Genomic DNA, 20,967 nt, shown 5'->3' on the forward strand with positions numbered 1-20,967 from the left:
TAAAAACAGGAAAATTAACCGAGCCTGGTGGCGCACAGTTGTAATCCCAGCTACTCAGGAGCCTGAGGTGAAAGGATCCACTTGAATCTGGGAGGTGAAGGTTGCAGTGAGCCGAGATTTCACCACCGCACCCCAACCTGGGTGACAGAGTGAGACTTGATTAAAAAAACAAAAAGAAAGAAAGAAAATGCCTGGCTAGCCACAGTGGTTCATGCCTGTAGTCCCAGCTACTTGGGAGGCTGAAGTGGGAGGATCACCAGCAGTGATAGAATGAGACTCTATCTCAATTTAAAAAAAAAGTGATAATGAAGAAGATTGATTATTCCAGCCATTCTTCACATACCCAGAGTATGCTTATAGTGGGTATAAGAGATCTCACTACTTAATTTGAACCAACACATGAGGGGGTAAAGATTTAGGAATATAAAAAGTATAAATTAGTATAGAGCAAACTGGAAGTTCCTCAAGAGTATTGAATCTTTGAAATTGTGTAGCTTACAGAAGTCCTGGTGGAATGTCTGTCAGAAGCTATTAGATTGGTGGCAAGAGCGTTCTAAGTGGACAGGTGGATTGTGGAAAGACTAACCCCATCTGTATGCACTCTGTCCTTCTCTTTGCATACTTTAGTTAGCAGTTGGTTAATTTGCATGTGTGGTTTCAGCCATCATGTTGTATTGACTCATTCTGAAAGCTCTGTGAGGATAGGCCACATGTCTGCCCGCCCCCACTGCATCTAGCACTTTATGTGTGATAATCTATTGAAAAATATTTGTCAAATGAATAAAATGGTGAATGTATTCAGCAGACATTTAGTGAGACTTGAGAATGTCCTGTGGGGGTGGAAGTGGGTAGAGGAGTGGTAGGCCTATAAGGATTGATGAGACATAATGTCTGACTTTAAGGAACATAAATCTGGCACTAAATATAAATTTTTGAAACTCCTTAATTCTTAGATTAGCCAATGCAGACAGTAAGTAACTTACTGACCTAAACCAGAATTTTTTTGTAACATAGATTTTAATAAATTTCTTTGTTTTTTGTTTTTTGGTTTTTTTTTTTGAGACAGTCTTGCTGTGTCGCCAGGCTGGAGTGCAGTGGCGCAATCTTGGCTCACTGCAACCTCCGCCTCCCAGGTTCAAGCGATTTTCCTGCCTCAGCCTCCTGAGCAGCTGGGACTACAAGCGCGCGCCACCACGCCCATCTCTAATATTTGTATTTTTAGAGACGGGGTTTCACCCATGTTGGCCAGGATGGTCTCGATCTCTTGACTTTGTGATCCGTCCGCCTCGGCCTCCCAAAGTGCTGGGATTACAGGCGTGAGCCACAGCACCTGGCTGATTTTAATAAATTAGGTGAAATCTTAGTTATGTAACAGACACCCATTCTGCATTCTTTCTCTACTAATTCAGCTGGGAAGCAGGATTGCTTAGGGGTCAGTTTTATAATGTTACTCAGTTTTTTTATTTTATTAAAATTAGGGATTTGATTAAGTGGTGACATGTTGCTTTTCTGAAATTACAGAAGGGCATTTATCTAAAGTGACTGTGACCAAGTAGCAAGATACTTAATTGAGTAGGTCGGTATACTAAAAATAGCTCAACTGACTGTAATGATTCAGGTATGCAAAGATCAGATAATGCAATATATTAGTTAAGGGAACTTTTACTGTATATGGTATAATGGTCTATGGTATATTTCCTTGTAAGTTGTTTCTCTCTCTCTCTTTTTTTAAATGTTAAAGTAATCAAGATGATGCTAACAGTCAGTTACCAGAACTCATACAGGGACCATTTGTGTGGAAACTAAAGCTGCAGAAAATCCAGCAGAATCCTGCGCTACTATTGTAGTTATTTGTAGTTGTTTAGGCAGAAAAATCAAAGACAGGAAGTTAGGAATGTTTGAAGACATTATTCTAGGGTAATGAATTCAGATAAGATGTATTTCACTCATGTTAAAGCTATCCTCTGAAAATAAGACTTGCCTATAGAAGTATCCCCAACCAAAAGCCTATTAGGAACTCCCTAGCCCAGTCAGACAGAATGTGTATTCCAGGGAGAAGGCTGTATCCTGCTTATGTTAGACTGTACTACATACTTCACGTCTTAACTAGATATACCAATTAAGAATAGGCAAAACCTAATCAGTTGTCAGAAGGAAGATATATATGAACAAGAGAGAAAACAACTCCATGGAACTCAGAAGGAGAGTCCCCAAACATGAATTTGGCAGTGATTTTTCAACACTGTCCAGGGAGAACATAAGCCAGCTTTCCACCATCATTTGGACAAATTTTTAGTGATAGGACACATATAATTTATCAGGCTTTATTGTGGTTTCATTTTCTTTTGGTTTAGATTCAATACTCACCAGATAACTTCTCAGATGCCACAGTATGAGGAATAGGGTACCCTGTGTGGTAAGAGGACTATTCCCCCCATTGTAACCAAATAAACTGGCATTTGGCCTATATGGTAATTTTCTTCATAAACTTTATAAAAAATAAATATATATTTTGTTGAGGATACAGGGCTAGTGAAAAATAAAAATATCAATATAACATTAACCTTTTAGAAATTAGTTAGCATAAATTAACCCTTGGAAGCCTAATCAATTCCATGTGTCCAGAAAAAAAAAAAAGGATTTTATGGTGCTGTAGAACTGAGAGTCATATTCAGGAATAATTCATCTCTTGTTGTAGAAGGCAGGGATCATAGTCTTATTCTTATGTACCCAGTGCTTGGCACATGGTTGAAAACTCATTATTGAATTATAGAGATGGCAACTCCAGACCTATAGTGAGAACAACTAGACATTTTATGGCTCTACTCTTAGAATTATTCTGACATCAAAAGAGTAGTTCTGCCATTTCTTTAACTCAGCAGAAATCATTCATTAAGTGATGAAAATAGAAGCTTCTAAACAAACCAGAGCCTTAAAAGGCAAATAAAAGGTATATGCATCTGTTAGAAAAAAAATGGGAGAGCTATGTGGTGTGTTTGAGGACAAAGACAATCTGTTTCATTATTTTTATTTGTAAATAATTTTTAATTTTATTTTGTAGACCTTATTGCAATATGCAAGCAACAAGAATGCATCAGAACATATTGTGTATCTTCTGGAGGTATATCGACTTGCCATCCAAAGCTTTGCCAGTGCACGTCCATACTTAACTACTGAATGTGAAGATGTCCTCTTAGTGCTTGGCAGATTAGTACTGTAAGTTTGAGAACTTAAATCACTCTTAAAATTGAGTACCATTGGTCGTGTTGTTTGCCTGGTTTCTCTTTACAGTGGCATCACATTTATTCTTCAGAGCACCATTAGAGTCATACCATTGAATGAAATTTCCTTCCTACTCACGTTCCCAGGAGATATAGTCCAAGTGAAGCTCCAGCCAAGCAACATCATCTTTAACTTGCCTCTAGAGTCTCTTTTCCTATTCAGGCTTGGAATCTGAGAATGATATATTTCTATCCCTTAGGTATAGATTGATTTAAATGACAGAATACCTGGAAACTGGTAGTCCTTGAAGAACATCTTGGCAAAAACAACATGAAATTCTGCAATTTGATTATATTTGAACTAAGAATAATTTTATTAGCAAAAAATATCAGGGTACAGTATAAGATTACCATCCTAAGAAAGAGATCATGATTTAGCGCGGGCATGGTGGCGCACGCCTGTAATCCCAGCACTTTGGGAAGAGGCTGAGGCACGAGAATCGCTTGAACCTGGGAGGTGGAGGTTGCAGTGAGCCAAGATGGCGCCACTGCACTCCAGCCTGGGTGGTGGAGTGGAGACTGTCTCAACAACAAAAAAAAAAGAACGTGATTTAGCTGTTATTTTAATATTTAGCTGCATAGTAGCAGACAAAATTACACCTTTATTGTAATTTTCATCTGCAAATTGAAAAGATACAACAGCCAATCAGTTTTAGCTGGGCATCACCTTGTTCAACTTACAGATTGTTTAGTGAGATGACTTCTAGTCTAGATGGTTTATTTTATTTTTTTTCTAGCCTCACCTGTTTTCCTTCCTATTTTCCAGTGGCCCTTTATGGAAGACCAGCATTCCTGGTTTTATGATCATATTTTTCCTTCTACCAAGTCCTAGTTTCTGTTTTACCTATTGTAATCCCTAAGGGGTAAAGGATTATTCTGTAGGGTTTTAGAGAGATGTTGATTCATTGGTATTTTGAGTTGCTCATTATTCAAGTTGTAGTGCATTTCTTTTTTCAAAAAAATCTTCCTGTTATTTCTTTTCTGTGTCTTCTGGATAATAGTCAGAAAAAGGAAACTCTTTTGCTTGGTTTTTTTTACAGGTAAAGAAACGACTTTGCCAGTCTTCCTGCTTCCTCTGCAAGTGACAGAAACCTATAGATAACAGTTACATATATTTATCATTTATCATTTTATCAGCTGAATTGACAGTAGTATGAGCTCCCATTTTTGTCTACTGGAATTAGAATTGTCCTATATGGGTGCCTCTTCACACCCAAATAAACAAAATAAAACTGCTTGGAATGTGATTTCTAAAGAGCTTATTATATTCTTACCAAATGTACTAAAGCAACAATGTAAATATAAAGCCTTGTGGTCTTTCTTTTTTTCCTCCTTTTTAAATTGAACAGTCAATATAACAACTCTGAAGCAAATTTTGAAGAGTAAAAACATTTAAAATAGCCTAAACAAATGTAAAATAGATTTTTAGTATTGCTGTCATACTCTACTTAATTATTACTATAACCACCTTTATATACTTACTCATTTTTATTGTAGGAGTTGTTTCGAATTACTGCTTTCAGTGTCTGAAAGTGAACTGCCATGTGAAGTCTGGCTACCATTCCTTCAGTCTCTACAGGTGAGTTGATTTTAACTCAGAAAAGTTTTCTGTATCCAAGACACCTAATTAATTACTCCCAGCAAACTAAAATTGGAACCTTAGAACAAAAACAAGTTTATTATATATTGATATTAGGTCATGAAATGATAAAAAGGCCCTTCACATGAAGGGGATGTATTAAAAATGGGTTTTTTAAATTTGGTTTTGTTTGCCTCTACATAGTTAGAAATCAACAAAAAAGTTTCATTATTCAAACATAAAGTTTAGACAGCATAAAGCTATCAAAATCATACATGATTATAAAGTAACAGTATTTGGATCCTTCATAGCATACTTATTGGTAACCTTCAATATACAAAACACTATTTCATTACATCTAAGGTTCACCTTTTTCTTCCTAACACTTTAAGAATTGTACCTGGCTGGGTGTAGTAGCTCACGGCTGTAATCCCAACACTTTGTGAGGCCAAGGCAAGTGGATCACCTGAGGTCAGGAGTTCGAGACCAGCTTGGCCAACATGCCGAAACCCTGTCTCTACTAAAAATACAAATATTAGCCGGGCATGGTGGCGGACACCTGTAATCCCAGTTACTTGGGAGGCTCAGGCAGGATAATCGCTTGAACCCAGAAGGCAGAGGTTGCAGTGAGCCAAGATCGCACCACTGCACTCCAGCCTGAGCAACAGAGTGAGACTCTGTCTCGGAAAAAAAAAAAAAAGACATAATAAATAATAGACCGGGCATGGTGGTACATACCTATAGTCCCAGCTACTCAGGAGGCTGAGGCAAGAGAATCTCTTAAGCCCAAGAGTCCGAGGCTGCAGTGAGATATGATCACACCACTGCACTCCAGCCTGGGTGACAGGGCTCATCCCTAAAATAATAGGACTCGTCTCTAAAAATAAATGCATGCAGTCATTCATTTATTGATCACTAATTATGTACCAATCACTGCTTTACACTACATTTTACTTGTTTTATATCTTCTAATCAAATTACAAACCTTATAGTGTGAGAATTATTTGAATCTCCATTTACAAATGGGGAGACAGGTGAAGAGAGGTTAATTAGCTTGGACAAAGTTACACACAGATTTCAAACCCTGAGCTTACTTTGCTAACTACTTCCTTGAGGACACAGCTTAGACCTGTTTCATGGAGGCACAAATAAAGACATGCATATTAACAGACACACTTCATTATCTGAACATTTCTTTCCTCTGGAATACATAACCCAAAATGAAATGATATAATGTTCTCTTTAGTGAGAAGAGGATTCTTTGTCATGTTCTTGGCCTATTTAAAGCCCTGTAATGCAGTCCTAATATCTCACATATCCGTACAGCTGCTAAAATCATCTTTCATGCGTAGCACTTTGATTTTTGTCACTCTGTGTTCTGAAGCCTGCCAGTCGTTTTGTTCTGGCATATGGCATCCTAGAAGGGCAAATCCTAATTAGGACTATTACTACTATATTAATACTGTTTGAGTATCCCATATCTCAAATGCTTAGGAGTAGTTTGGATTTTGGAATATTTGCATTACACTTAGTAGTTCAGCATCCCTAATCTGAAAATCCGAAATGCTCCAGTGAGCATTTCTTTTGAGTATCGTGTTGATGCTTACAAAGTTTTGGATTTGAGGAACATTTTGGATTTCAGATTTTTGGATTAGGGACACTCAACCTCTATCCTTTTTAGAGGGAAATCTCTCATATTTCTTTATTATTTTCTTAGCTTGCTTGAATAAAATAGTTGCCTCTTTTTCCACTTGCATAAGCTTTTTCAGGTTTATCAGATGTGTAGGATATATTTTTTAACATGTGTTCAGTAAATAAATGTAGTAGGGGTACAAATAAATGTTAAGACATGATCCCTGTTGAAATCCAAAAGATAAAAAGCCCTTAAGTTTTCTTATTTTATATTATAAATGGACAAGGCAGCAAATGGTATTAAGGATACTTTTGGTAAGAGAATAGTTTTTATCAGAGCAGGCTGCAGGTAGAATATTTCTCAATTACTATTTACAGCTGAGTAACTTTTTTCCTATGGACATAAAAATATACACTCTGCAAATGATTTTTTAATGAAAAATGACAGCCTATTTTCTGCAACTTGGTTTTTTACATAATAATCATGGACATACATCTAAGATTGCATATGTAGATCTCCTGTTTTGATGATCACCTAGAATTCTGTTTTGTGGTTGTGCCTTTAATTGACCAATGTCTTGCTATTTACTGTAAATGGTGCAAGAGTGAACATCTTGAAAAGGGCGGCAGAGTGGTCTTAGCAAAAAAAAAAAAAAAAAAAGAGCATCTTGTGCTATTATTTCTGTATTGTAGATTTCAAGAACTGGGCTAGGATATTTCCACCTTAAAAAGAAACAAATTGAAGTTTTAAAATTATTCTTGAAATGCTACCATAGTTTTTGTAGTTTTATAGATTTAACATTATTTTTAAAAAATAACTTTGCTATATTAGATGTCTATTGGTAACAAAGGATTACATACCATTCTTATTCTGAGTAAACTGTATTTTGAACTTTAACAAATGAGAAAGTAGAGAACTTTTAAAAAGAAACTCAAACTGTGGTTTTTATTTCAGTTGCTGCATATCATGGTGGGTGGTAGTATTTTCTGCTAAAGTGTAATGGTACAGGTCAGTTAGACATTATAAATATGATAAACCTGACACCTCAAATTTTTAACTTTTCACATGGACTTTTTCTCCTCACTCCAAAGTAAACGCGAGTCATTCTAAGTTAAGAAGAAAGAAGCCTGAGGACAAGTCAAGCTGTTAAAGCAAAATTGCAGCATTTGTTAAATATTGCTATTGGTGAACTAATAATTAGAAATATTACTTTCTGTATCAATTCCATATTTTAAGTCCTTTCTCAGTGGAAAATAATGCAACATATTGGGTGGGTGTGTGGGTGGGTGTATATGTGTAGTAAAAGCCTATTTTAACATGAAGGTTAAGGGATGGGGGAGACTTTATATCTTGTAGTTTTCACTTGAGTGAATACTAAACTATATTCTTATGCCTGTGAACATTTTTGGCTTATATTTTCCAAAGAAATGTTGACGTAAATGGAAGCTTATGTTCCTAGAGAATTTCAGGAGTTTAAAATAAGGGAAACAAATTAGAATTTTAGAACATGGGAACAAGCTCACCATAATCAATAATACTCAGTAGTAATAGAGGACAGTGAAACATATACGTAATCATTTATACTGAATTACATTTCTGACTCCTTTTCCCTCACCCTTGAATATAAGAACTTTAATGAACAAACTATTGGTAAATACATTTTGTTTGCTGAGTTAATAGACTTTTCAGGACATTTTATATAGAGCCACCTGTCATTTAAATAGCAATTTTTTAGACGAATTTAAACAATTATATAATGATTTGTGTCACTAAGTAATACTCCTGTAATTCCTGTTAGAGGAACAGGCAGCCTGTGTGAATACTGCAGAATTCTTTAAAAGAAAGCGGCACCAATGGCTTTCAAATAATTAAATGGGCACAGTGGCTCATGCCTTTAATCTCAACACTTTGGGAGGCTGAGGCAGGTGGATCACCTGAGGTCAGGAGTTCGAGACCAGCCAGGACCAACGTGGCAAAACCCCGTCTCTACTAAAAATACAAAAATTAGCCAGGCGTGGTGGCAGGCGCCTGTAATCCCAGCTACTTGGGAGATTGAGGCAGGAGAATCGCTTGAACCAACAAGAGCAAAACTCCATCTCCAAAAAAAAAAAACCAACAAAACAAAAAAAATAAATCAGCCTCCACCAGGGCTATCATTCAAGTCTTCAGAGTCTGCTAGTAACATGAGTGATCCTAATAGTAGGGCACTCCAAATATCCAACAGTAATGCAAGGACCTAACTTGAATTGTGATAATTTTACCAGGGAGGAATTCAGGAAAACGTTTTAAAGGCACTCTTTTACTTAGTGAAAACATCCTAGTTATTTATTTATTTATTTATTTATTTATTTATTTATTTATTTATGAGACGGAGTCTTGTTCTGTCACCCAGGCTGGAGCGCAGTGGCACAATCATGGCTCACTGCAACCTCTGCCTCCCAGGCTCAAGTGATTCTCCTGCCTCAGCCTCCCGAGTAGCTGGAACTATAGGTGGGTGCCACCACGCCCGGCTAATTTTTTGTATTTTTGGTAGAGACAGAGTTTTGTCATTTTGGCCACGCTGGTCTTGAACTCCTGACCTCAGATGGTCCACCCGTCTCAGCCTCCCAAAGTGCTGAGATCACAGGCATGAGCCACTGTGCCTGGCCCCATCCTAGTTTTTTTCTAAAAACAGCAACAGAGGCTGGACGCGATGGCTCAACACCTATAATCCCAGCACTTTGGGAGGCCGAGGCGGGTGGATCACGAGGTCAGGAGTTCAAGACCAGCCTGGCCAAGATGGTGAAACCCTGTCTCTACTAAAAATACAAAAATTAGCTGGGCGCGGTGACAGACGCCTGTAATTCCAGCTACTCAGGAGGCTGAGGCAGGATAATTGCTTGAACCCAGGGGTTGGAGGTTGCAGTGAGCTGAGATCGCGCCACTGCACTCCAGTCTGGGTGACAGAGTAAGATTCTGTCTTTAAAAAAAAAAAAAAGACAGCAACAGAATTTCACAAGGCTTTGAGTATAGTCTTTTTTGGTTACTTATTTTCAGGAAATCCAAATAGGTTCTTTCAATTCCTAGGTGTATCAGATATGTTGAAAAGGCAAAACTAATTTTTATATTGTTAACTTATTTTCTGGGTGTGCTGTTCTTGTTCTAGGAGTCACATGATGCATTATTGGAATTTGGGAATAATAACCTACAAATATTGGTTCATGTTACCAAGGAAGGGGTGTGGAAAAACCCAGTTCTTCTTAAAATTCTGTCTCAACAGCCAGTAGAAACGGAGGAAGGTAAGTCTTAAGACTATATTGGATGAGGATTTAGTTCTGAGAACGTTGGAATTGATTATGGGTTAAAATTTTGGGAATTTAACTTGTGTATATATCTAGTCTTTCTGTTTTTACTTTGAGTAGTAAAAATTAACTATTAGCATTTAATGTTTTGCTTAAGTAAGGATTCTTGCACTGTTAGTTTTAAGTCCCTTTACACTCATTTTTAAATTTTGCATTGAGTAGCAATGTTCATACAAAGTTCCTGAGACAGAAATGAATAATCTGCTGTAATCTTTGGTGTGTGGTAGAGCTTTGCTTATACTTTTCTTTTCTTTTTTTTTTTTCCCGAGACGTTGTCTCGCTCTGTCACCCAGGCTGGAGTGCAGTGGCAGGATCTCGGCTCACTGCAACCTCTGCCTCCAGTGTTGAAGCGATTCTGCCTCAGCCTCCTGAATAGCTGGGATTACAGGCGCGCGCCACCACGCCTGGCTAAGTTTTGTATTTTTTAGTAGAGACGAGGCGTTACCATGTTGGTCAGGTTGGTTTCGGACTCCTGACATTGTGATCCACCTGCCTTGGCCTCCTAAAGTGCTGGGATTATAGGCAAGAGCCACTGCGCCCGGTCTGCTTATACCTTTTTTATTGGCTGCAACAACTGAGGGCCATGAAAAAAGTTTTTTTTATTTTATATATATGAAATAATTGGAATTCATTGTTTTATAGAGAGATGCAAAGAATGAAGTTTTTGTTGTTTTTGTTTTGTTTTGTTTTAATTTGAGACAAGGTTTTACTCTGCTACCCAGGCTGGAGTGGCACAATTATGGCTCACTGCAGCCTCTACCTTTCAGGCTCAAGTGATCTGCCTGCCTCTGCCTCACAAGTAACTGGGACTACAGGCATGCGCCACTGTGTACAGTTAATTTTTCTATTTTTTGTAGATATGGGGGTCTCACTATGTTGCCTAGGCTGGTCTTGAACTCCTAGACTCAAGAGATCCTCCTGCCTTAGCCTCCCAAAGTGCTGGGATTACAGGCATGAACCACCATATCTGGCCAGAATGAAATATCTTATTTGCAAAATTGTCAGTCGAAGACCAGAAAAATTATGTATTTGAATTGACATTTGCATTTTAGATCACAAAAGTATCTTCTTTGATAGAGCCAACAACTGTAACTTCATTTACGTCAAGTTAGTGGAAAGTTCAAAGGATTACACTCTGTTAAGTACATTTTTTGCTATAAAAACAGACTTTAGAACAATTATTACACATTTTGAGATATCTTTAGGTCTTAGAACTAGCCATTTGATTGTCGATCCTTTAAAATATCCCAGTTAGTTTATCCATTCACCAAGCTTAAGCACCTACCATATACATGGTGTTTGGACCTCTCTGTATAGTGAGAAGATGGGCATAAAGGCACTTAGATTTTCTCTTGATCCGTTTCCTCTGATCATTCTAGTGCTTACCAGTTGCACTGACAAGAAAAAAAAAGAATAAGGAAAAGTGCTGTTAAATAGAAAAAGATTGGTGTTTATAGTTTTCCATTGAGGTCCTCAATAAACGGCATCCCCTTGTAAATGTAGGTAGATGGAGGCTAAAGTATCACCTTTGTTATTGACAAAAGCTGTTAGAACCAGGTAATTTCAGAAACATCCCAGAATTGGGCAGATCCTATCCAGATAAGTCTTGACTGGGGCAGAGGAGATTGCATGTTTTGTGCAGGCAGGCCCAAGCCCAAGAGGAAAAAAGGGTGGGGTTGAGTTAAACATCCTTAGTGTATTTTCCCCTGATATACTAATCAACTATGTCACCCCACCTCTGGAGTTAACAGTAATTAATCATTTTTAACATAGAAAAACATCAAGAAATGGGGAGAAGCATTGCTTACCTAACATTCTTGGTATCCTGTTTATTCAGTAAATATTAATTAAGCACTCACTATCTTTAAGACTCTGAATAGGTACATGATACCTACATATCCAAGGAATTATGTTGAGGACCACAGTATAAGTGGTGGGTAACATGTAGCCTGCCTCCTTTCACAGTTGGCCCTTAATCTAATTTCAGGTCAAAAGATTAAAAAGCTTTCTTTATATCTCTGCTGCCCCTGCAGGCCAGATATTTAACATATTTGATACCAAAAAGCAGTGATGTTCATCTCACTGATTGTCTTCTGTAATAAGTGCCAATTGTTGATAATTTTACCTGATATTCACCTGACATGATCAGTAAAGATGCCATGGAAGAGCTGTTTTTCTTTTCTGTTTTTTTTTGAAATGGAGTTTCGCTCTTATTACTCAGGCTGGAGTGCAATGGTGTGATCTCAGCTCACTGCAACCTCTGCCTCCGGGGTTTAAGCGATTCTCCTGCCTTAGCCTCTCGAATAGCTGGGATTACAGGCATGCGCCACCATGCCCGGCTAATTTTGTATTTTTAGTAGAGATGGGGTTTCTCCATGTTGGTCAGGCTGGTCTCGAACTCCTGACCTCAGGTGATCTGCCCTCAGCTTCCCAAAGTGCTGGAATTGCAGGTGTGAGCCACCGCGCCCGGCCTCTTTTTTTTTTTTTTTTTTTAAAGACAGCGTTTCACTCTTGTTGCCCAGGCTGGAGTGCAATGGCGTGATCTCGGCTCACTGCAACCTCCGCCTCCTGGGTTCAAGTCATTCTCCTGCCTCAGCCTCCCAAGTAGCTGGGATTACAGGCATGTGCCACCACACCCGGCTAATTTTTTATATTTAGAAATGAGTTTTCACTATATTGGTCAGGCTGGTCTCGAACTCCTGACCGCAGATGATCCACCTGCCTCAGCCTCCCGAAGTGCTGGGATTACAGGCGTGCACCACTGTGCCCGGCAGAGCTGTTTTTCAACTGGATCTTAAGTGTTACTGTTTTTACATAATGAAGTATATAGTATAAGATAAAGTGTCATGATGTCTGCACCTTTCTTTTAAATGGTTCTGAAAAAGAGAAGGCAAAGAAATGCGGCAAACCAGTTCAATTGTTAAATCTAGTTGGAAGGAAGGGTATAAAACTAAAAAAAAATTTTGTATTGAAATGTTTGAAGAAATGAGATACAGAAAGGATTGTGATTGGGAGTGAGACATATTGTTTTAAATATTGAAGCATATGGTAGATTTCCTTTCAATAAAGAAATTCAAAGATTGATATCTTCAAATGATTTGTAAAATACAAGATTGAGCCATATGTTAAAATTGATTTAGCAGCAGTTTAACTGTAGTTATAATTATTGAATAAAATAGCTTACCGCATAGAAATAATAGCTATGATTTTTAGAGTGCCTGCTATGTGTTGGGCACTGTATTTGTGCTTTCATATCTCATGTAATCCATGAAACAGGTGAGAGATTACACATACCCAAGACCATGTAGTTACAATTGTGGAGGCAGAATTTGAGCCCAGGTGAGGTGACGTTAAAATGTTTTTGATTGGAGAGTGATGACCCTTCAGTTGCTAAGTGCATGGTTTAATTAAACATCCGTAATATACAAGCCCTTGTGCTTAGTGCTGTAGGGAATACAAAGGCTAACAAGACATGATATTTGTTCACAAATTGCTGACAGTGTAATAAAGGAGATATCAGAGACAATAGTAAGTACTATTAAACATTTACTCCGTGTTTGGCCTTGTGGTGAGTCTTATCTGCATTTCTAGTATTTCTTTAATTTGTTCATCCATGTGAGATGGGTATAACCTTTTTACAGATGAAGAAACTTGAGTCTCAGAGAGGTCAGTTAATTTGTCCAAGGGTCTCACAGCTGTGTGTCAGAATCAGGTTTCAACATCAGATCAGTGATTCTAAAACCTGAAATGTTAACGTTTGTACACTATAATCCCTTATCACTGTTCTTCGAGAAAACTAAATGTGGGGAAAGAAGTAAAATGCTGTGGGAATTTGCAAGGCGATAGGTTGTGTAGGTAATATGCCTGTTATCAGGTATGTTGCTTCCTGTTGGATTTGCAGAATTGCTTACAACCTCATATGGCAGGTAAATAGAGCAGAATCTGATGTTAGGCAGGCAGAATAGGATATAGGGGAGACGTGACAGGAAATAATAGGCATGATTTAGATTGGAGATAATTAGAAAAGAATTACTAGGACATAATAACTAAGTTGATTTCCTTGAGGAAAGGAAGTATCAAGGAAAGATAATTCCAAAATTTTATTGTTGTATAATTGAGAGAATATCATTGCTGAAAATAGAAGTAGGGAATAAGGAGCTATGTGAGTGAAGGGTATGACCGTGAGTTCATCTTGTGGAATTTAGTAACTGTGGGACTAAAATGGAAAAGTCCAAGTGATTGTGACCTGTTTTCCCTCCATGCTTTTTGACCTTGACTACATATTAGAGTATCTATGGAATTTAAAACCAAAAAACATACATCCCAAGGTCCAGACTCCACTTGCTAAATCATAATCTCCAGAGTTGGAGCTCTGGAATCCAGAACTTTTTGAAGTGCCTTAGGAAATGGGCACTTACATATTGCTGATGGGAATATAAATTGGTACAATTTTTGGAGAGCAGTTTGGCAGTATGAGTCAGTATTACAAATGAACAGAGCCTTTAATTTAGCAATTCCGCATCTAGGAATTTGTTGTGTAGATTTATTCACATGTTTCAGATTACCTGTATATAGGGTTGTAAGTTGCAGCATTATTGATGATTGACAGAGATTGGAAACAGCCTGCAAGTGTATCAGTAGGGGATTGGTTAAATAAATTATAGCACATCCATACCACATAATGCTATTCAGTTGTTAAAAATAAGAAGATAGCTCTAACTGCACAGATGATAGAATAACCTGTATCATATATTAAGTGGCAAAAGAAAATGTCTTCCATACTCATAGAATATTTCTGGAAGGATAAACAAGAAATTGGAAACTTGTTGTTTCTCAGGGTGGGAAACCAGAGCACTGGGGTCAGGGTAGGAGGGAGAAAAACTTTAACTGTATAGCTTTTTCTGTCCTTTTGAAATCTGTGATTATATATATATATATGTTTTTCTTTATATTATTTTAAAGGATAATGTTACGATTGATTCTCATATGTAGTTAAAATTGGGCCAGTGGTTTATCCTTAGTATAAACCATTGCTACTCTACACACACACACACACACACACACACACACACACACACACACACACACACACACACACACACACACACACACTGGTTTATCCTTAGTATAAACCATTGCTACTCTACACACACACACCCCAGTGGTTTATCCTTAGTATAAACCATTGCTACTCTACACACACAAACACACACACCCCCCCCACACCTCACACACACACACACCCCCCCCCCCCCCCCCGCAACCTGGGAGCTTGTGAGAAAAGCAAAATTTCAGGTCCCAGACCTAATAAATCAGAATCTGCATTTTAATAAGCTCCCTAGGTGATCTAGGCACTTTCAAGTCTGAGAGATACTGTTTTAGATTAACCACCTAAAGCAGTTTGTTTACTCACCACTTGGCTTGACATGCAATATTCTCACCTCTATTCTTTAAGTAATACTATGTAGTGATGTCACATACTTGTTGGATATTTACTATTCAAAAATTGAGGGCTCGGCCGGGTGCGGTGGCTCATGCCTGTAATCCCAGCACTTTGGGAGGCCAAGGCGGGTGGATCATGAGGTCAGGAGATCGAGACCATCCTGGCTAACAACGGTGAAACCCCGTCTCTACTAAAAATACAATAAATTAGCCGGGCATGGTGGCGGGCACCTGTAGTCCCAGCTACTCGGGAGGCTGAGGCAGGAGAATGGCGTGAACCCGGGAGGCGGAGCTTGCAGTGAGCCAAGATCGCGCCACGGCACTCCAGCCTGGGTGACAGAGCAAGACTTCATCTCAAAAAAAAAAAAAAAAAAAAAATTTGAGGGCTCATCCAGAGCACTGTACAGTCAATGCCAAGTGCCTAATATTCAGTACAGCTCAGAAGTACTGAGCTTCAGTACTTCTGAAGCTTTCAGAGTAGCATTTTCCAAAGTGTGTACTGAACCAGGAACACATGTTTTACAGGTTACTAATATGTATAAAAGGGTTCTCTGGTCAAATCAGTTTAGGAAACATTGGGTTTTTAAATAAAAGTGAACAGTTTTCTTTATTGCAGGACTGTTCAGAGATTTGACCAAGGAATCCTTTTTTTTTCTAGGACTATCTCTCAGGTCTTTTGGTCGGTGGAACACACTTTGAGAAATGCCTGGTTTAGAGGAAAGAGCACCACTGGCTTTGGAATCCTTGGCAAGTTACCTAACTTCTGTGAATATTAATTTTCCTAACCTTAGACTGGGGATAATAATACTTGCCTTGGTGGTGGTGTGAAGAATAAATGAGAGGTATATAAAAATATGCAGCTTAAAACTTGATGTCTCGTAAGCATTCAGTTGATAGTTGTTAATATTACATAGGTTACTTGCTTCATTTCTTGCATTTATGCTTATAGTTCATTTCACTATTTCTTAATTTTCCTCTCATCTCTATTAGATGAATATTGAGACCAGAGTAAACTTCTCATTTATATAAACTAAATTTTTATTAACTAAAAATCAAATAAAAAGATCTCAAACTTTCATCTTAGCAAGTCTGACATGTTATGTGGTATGTTGTCAAACTGTTTTATTTTTCATTTTTTCTAGTCAATAAATTGATTGCACAAGAAGGACCTTCCTTTCTGCAAATGCGAATAAAACATTTGTTGAAATCTAACTGCATCCCCCAGGCTACTGCTTTATCAAAACTATGTGCAGAATCTAAAGAAATTTCAAATGTGTCATCTTTTCAGCAAGCCTATATCACATGTTTATGTTCTATGCTCCCTAATGAAGATGCTATTAAGGAGGTGAGTAAATAATTGTTGTCATTCAAACTTGGTATTAATTTAATAGATTTATATATATATTGCATGGTTTATTTTTTCCCTTTAGAATGAAAACCAAGATTCATTTTTTTCAGGCTACCAAAATGTATGATTTTAATTGTATATTTAACTGCTCGACAGATAGAATGTAATATTTTAGAGTGAATTTGAAAAGTAGATAACTAAAGAATATACAGAGGCATGTTTACTTATTTGGGTGATGATTTGCTGTGAAATCTTTAAATGTGAAAGTTGTTTTTTCTTTTTAAAGTAATGACGTCTCCATGTTTGGGGAATGCAGAAGTTGTTAATCATGGCATCAAGGGATAAACTAAAGAAAATGGCACTTAATTTTAGCTTAAGTTACTTTATATATTTAATTTTGTAAGCAGAAAAGTATAGGACTCTAGATTCCATGACTACATCCTGAACAATTAAGTGGCCAAACTGGATATCATGGAAAATAAGGGTTGAGTCTTTTTTTTTTTTTTTTTTTTTTTGAGACAAGGTCTTGCTCTGTCACCCAGGCAGGAGTGCAGTGGTGCAATTTCGGCTCACTGCAGCCTCTGCCTCCCGGGTTCAAGTGATTCTTGTGCCTCAGCCTCCCAAGTAGCTGGGACTAAAGGCATGCGCCACCATGCCTGGCTACTTTTTGTACTTTTTAGTAGAGACGGGGTTTCACCATGTTGGCCAAGCTGGTCTTGAACTCCTGACTTCAACTGATCCACCTGCTTCAGCTTGTACTACTAAAAGTACAAACATTAGCCAGGCATGGTGGTGGGCGCCTGTAATCCCAGGTACTCAGGAGGCTGAGGCAGGAAAATCGCTTGAACCCGGGAGGTGGAGGTTGCAGTGCATCGAGATCGTGCCACTGCACTCCAGCCTGGGTGACAAGAGTGAGACTCCATCTCAAAAAAACAACAACTATTTTATGTATCAGATTGCATCCTTTAAAAAAAAAAAACCTCAATTATTATGTTTCTTAAATTTGGAGTTAGACTTCTCTAATGGTTTTTGACATTATACAGAAAAAAACTAGAGATTCTTAAGCTTTATTTCATCATCTACCTTTAATCCTCTTATCTGCCATTCAATTCTGACATATGGATTCTTACTCTGAACTGAAATTTTTTATTAGATGTAGTAGTCCCAAGGATCTGGTTTTATGCTGTAGTAATTCTGAAACTTTTACTTGTAATATCTTACTCTCCAAATACAATTGTCTATCTTTCTACCTTACTCCCTTTAATATACAGTCTCCACCAGGATCAATCAAGATCTATTGATCTTGTCACCTTTTCATTTTCCCTTATCCCCCTTATGTATTCACTTCCCTATTTAACTCTGCTTTGTCATTGTCAGATCATCATTATCACTCTCAAAGAGCGAGAGGTCCTCTCTCTTTTTTTTTTTTTTTTTTGACAGAGTCTCGCTCTGTTGCCCAGGCTAGAGTGTAGTGGCGCGATCTTTGCTCCTGGGTTCAAGCAATTCTCCTGCCTCAGCCTCCCGAGTAGCTGGGATTACAGTCGCCCACCACCACGCCTGGCTAATTTTTTTGTATTTTTGTAGAGATGGGGTTTCACCATCTTGGCCAGGCTGGTCTTGAACTCCTGACCTCATGATCCACACGCCTCGGCCTCCCAAAGTGCTGGGATTACAGGCGTGAGCCACTGCTCCCGGCCACTGGTCTCTCTCTTAATTGTACTTGTTTGACTACCAGTATCCTGATTATCCCTAAATCTTCACCTACTCTATGTGTTTACCTGCACTCATGGGGCCAAATTTACATGGAGAAAAATCTGCCAGCTAATTTTACTCCAGGCTAGAGTGTGGTGGCGCACACTGCTCACTGCAGCCTCAAAATCCTGGGCTCAGGTGATCTTCCCACCTCAGCCCCTGGAGTAGCTAGGACCACAGAAACATGCCACCATTCCCGATTAATTTATTTTTTATTTATTTTTTATTTTTTTGGAGAGACAGGGTCTTGCCATGTTGCCCAGGCTGGTCTCGAACTCCCAGGGTCAAATGATCCGTCCACCTCAGCCTCCCAAAGTGCTGGGATTACAGGTGTGAGCCACTCACTGCACCCAGCCTATATTTCTTTAGCCCATTCATTCTCCCACTCTTAGATAGTTGCATAGTTTTTTCTTATTCTTCAAAACTATACTGTAATACTTTCTGCCCTGTTTCACTCTCTGTTGCTGAACTTAACTCCCTATTTCTCTGAAAAAAATTGAAGCGCTGAGAAGATAAATAAGAGAATTTTCATAAGCTCTGTCTCTGAAACATCTATTCATCTACCAGCATCTATGAATGTACATCTTCTCTTCTGTTACTAGAGATAAATTATATCTGTTCTCCTAGCTAAGGCCAGCCTCCCTCACTTCTGTATTTCAATTGATGTTGTCTCCCTTAAGGATAATGCTACAGCAGTTCTCCTTTTCTCTATTACATCATCGATTTCCCTGTCTCTGTTATAACCACCCCATTGGCATTTATGCTATTATTTATTCTGTCCTTAAAAAAGAGCTCTTCTTAGGTCCAGAGGTGGTGGCTCATGCCTGTAATCCCAGCACTTAGGGAGGCCGAGGCACAAGAATTGCTTGAGCCCGGGAATTGCTTGAGCCCAGGAGGCAGAGGCTGCAGTAAGCTGAGATCACGCCACTGCACTCCAGCCTGGGCAACAGAACAACAGAACGAGACTCTGTCTTCAAAAAAATAAAATAAAATAAAAATAACGCTGCTTTAGATCCTGTTTCTACTTTTAGCTACTGCCCCATTTCCTTCTGGCTTTTTAAGCATAATTTCTTTAACAAATTGTCTTAATTTACTATCGAACATTTTCCTTCCTTCTTTTTTTTTTTTTTTTTTTTTTGGGACAGAGTCTCGCACTGTCACCCAGGCTGGAGTGCAGTGGCACGATCTTGGCTCGCTGCAAGCTCCGCCTCCCAGGTTCACGCCATTCTCCTGCCTCAGCCTCCCGAGTAGCTGGGACTACAGGCGCCCGCCACCATGCCCGGCTAATTTTTTTTGTATTTTTAGTAGAGACGGGGTTTCACCGTGTCAGCCAAGATGGTCTCCATCTCCTGACCTCGTGATCCGCTCGCCTCTGTTTCCCAAAGTGCTGGGATTACAGGCGTGAGCCACGGTGCCTGGCCCATTTTTCTTCTTTCAAGACATTCTAATATGACCTTTGCCCCTGGCAGTATACCATATCACTAAATCTAATGATGACTTTCAGTTTTCTGTCTACCTCATTGATTACTCCTTTCTCAGTTCTACTTTGCTGTCTGATGAGTACATGTTGCAGTACCCAATGACTCTGTCATTGGGTCTTCTCTTTTTACACTTAACTAGGCTTATTTCCTTCATCTTTGGCTTTAAATACCAACTATGGTCTGACTCCCAAAAGTTTTCTCTCCAGCCCTGTTCCCTCCTCCAAACTCCAGACCCATATCCAATTGCCTAATTACCATCTCTACTTACAGATTTAACATGTCCGTAACTAAGCTCTTGATATTCCTGATATTTGGACTTTGCTTTTATGAGGGTTTTTTTTAGTCCTCACTATGTGTTTGGCACCATGCTAAATGCTTTATATACTTTGCTACATTTAATCAGCACAATAGCTCTGAGGTAGCTCCATTTTATTGATGAGGAAAGTCAGGCTCAGATTAGGTTGTGTGCTTCAAGGTTACAAAGCTAAAGTGGTTAAGCTGGGATTCAAACCTGAGTTTGGTGTACTACCAGTAATATTATATTAAAGACATAGGATAAGGAATATTATCCTTGTTGGTATTTACCTTAGAGTTTATATGCCAAATGCTGTGTTAGGCATTGGGGTTCAAAGATGAATGCAGAAGTCTCTGGACTGGCATACTTGGTTTTACTGTTGGCCTCTACATTTTATCTTGAAAATAGCCAGAATAATCTCTCTAAAACTTGTCGTGCCATGCCACTTCTCTGCACACAATTATCTAATAGCTTTCCATCTTACTCAGAATACATTCAGAATTCTTTATTCTATGTGCCATGGGCCCTGGCTACTTTTCTAACGTTCTCTCACCTTATCTTGTAATCTTAGTGCCCACTACTCTCCAGCCGCCTTGTCTTTGCTGTTCTTTGAACAAGCCAAGGATGTTCCTGTCTTAGAGCTTTGTGCTTGCTATTCCCTCTGACGAGAATTGCCTTCCACAAGATAATTTGAATGGCTTACTCCCTTACCTCATGTCTGCTCTAAATGTTCTCATGTCTGTTCAATATTACCATATCAGAGAGGCCTTCCTCGCTGTCTCATCTAAAATATTACCCTAGCCCCCTACTCTGCC

General features: G+C 38.6%; 1 protein-coding gene across 2 annotated transcripts in view, besides 1 other annotated feature; it reads left to right on the forward strand.

Annotated features, from left to right (window-relative positions):
• The window catches only part of RLF (RLF zinc finger), a 79,535-nt gene that overhangs the window by 24,607 nt on the left and 33,961 nt on the right, over nucleotides 1-20,967 (forward strand). The window contains exons 2-5 of one of the 2 annotated variants that reach the window (NM_012421.4): nucleotides 3,062-3,216; nucleotides 4,779-4,860; nucleotides 9,639-9,771; nucleotides 16,419-16,621. In NM_012421.4, the coding sequence (NP_036553.2) occupies nucleotides 3,062-3,216; nucleotides 4,779-4,860; nucleotides 9,639-9,771; nucleotides 16,419-16,621 (573 nt within the window). Of the gene's footprint in view, nucleotides 1-3,061; nucleotides 3,217-4,778; nucleotides 4,861-9,638; nucleotides 9,772-15,934; nucleotides 16,024-16,418; nucleotides 16,622-20,967 lie in introns of those variants that run through there. The other variant, XM_047427055.1, reaches the window with a different exon arrangement.
• Nucleotides 553-742: a silencer, noted in NCBI's record as "silent region_722". NCBI's record gives its function as "represses an Ori minimal core promoter by ATAC-STARR-seq in GM12878 lymphoblastoid cells {active_cell/tissue: GM12878}" and the evidence as "EXISTENCE:reporter gene assay evidence [ECO:0000049][PMID:35858748]".

Source organism: Homo sapiens, chromosome 1, assembly GCF_000001405.40.
Source record: "Homo sapiens chromosome 1, GRCh38.p14 Primary Assembly".
NCBI lineage: Eukaryota > Metazoa > Chordata > Mammalia > Primates > Hominidae > Homo > Homo sapiens.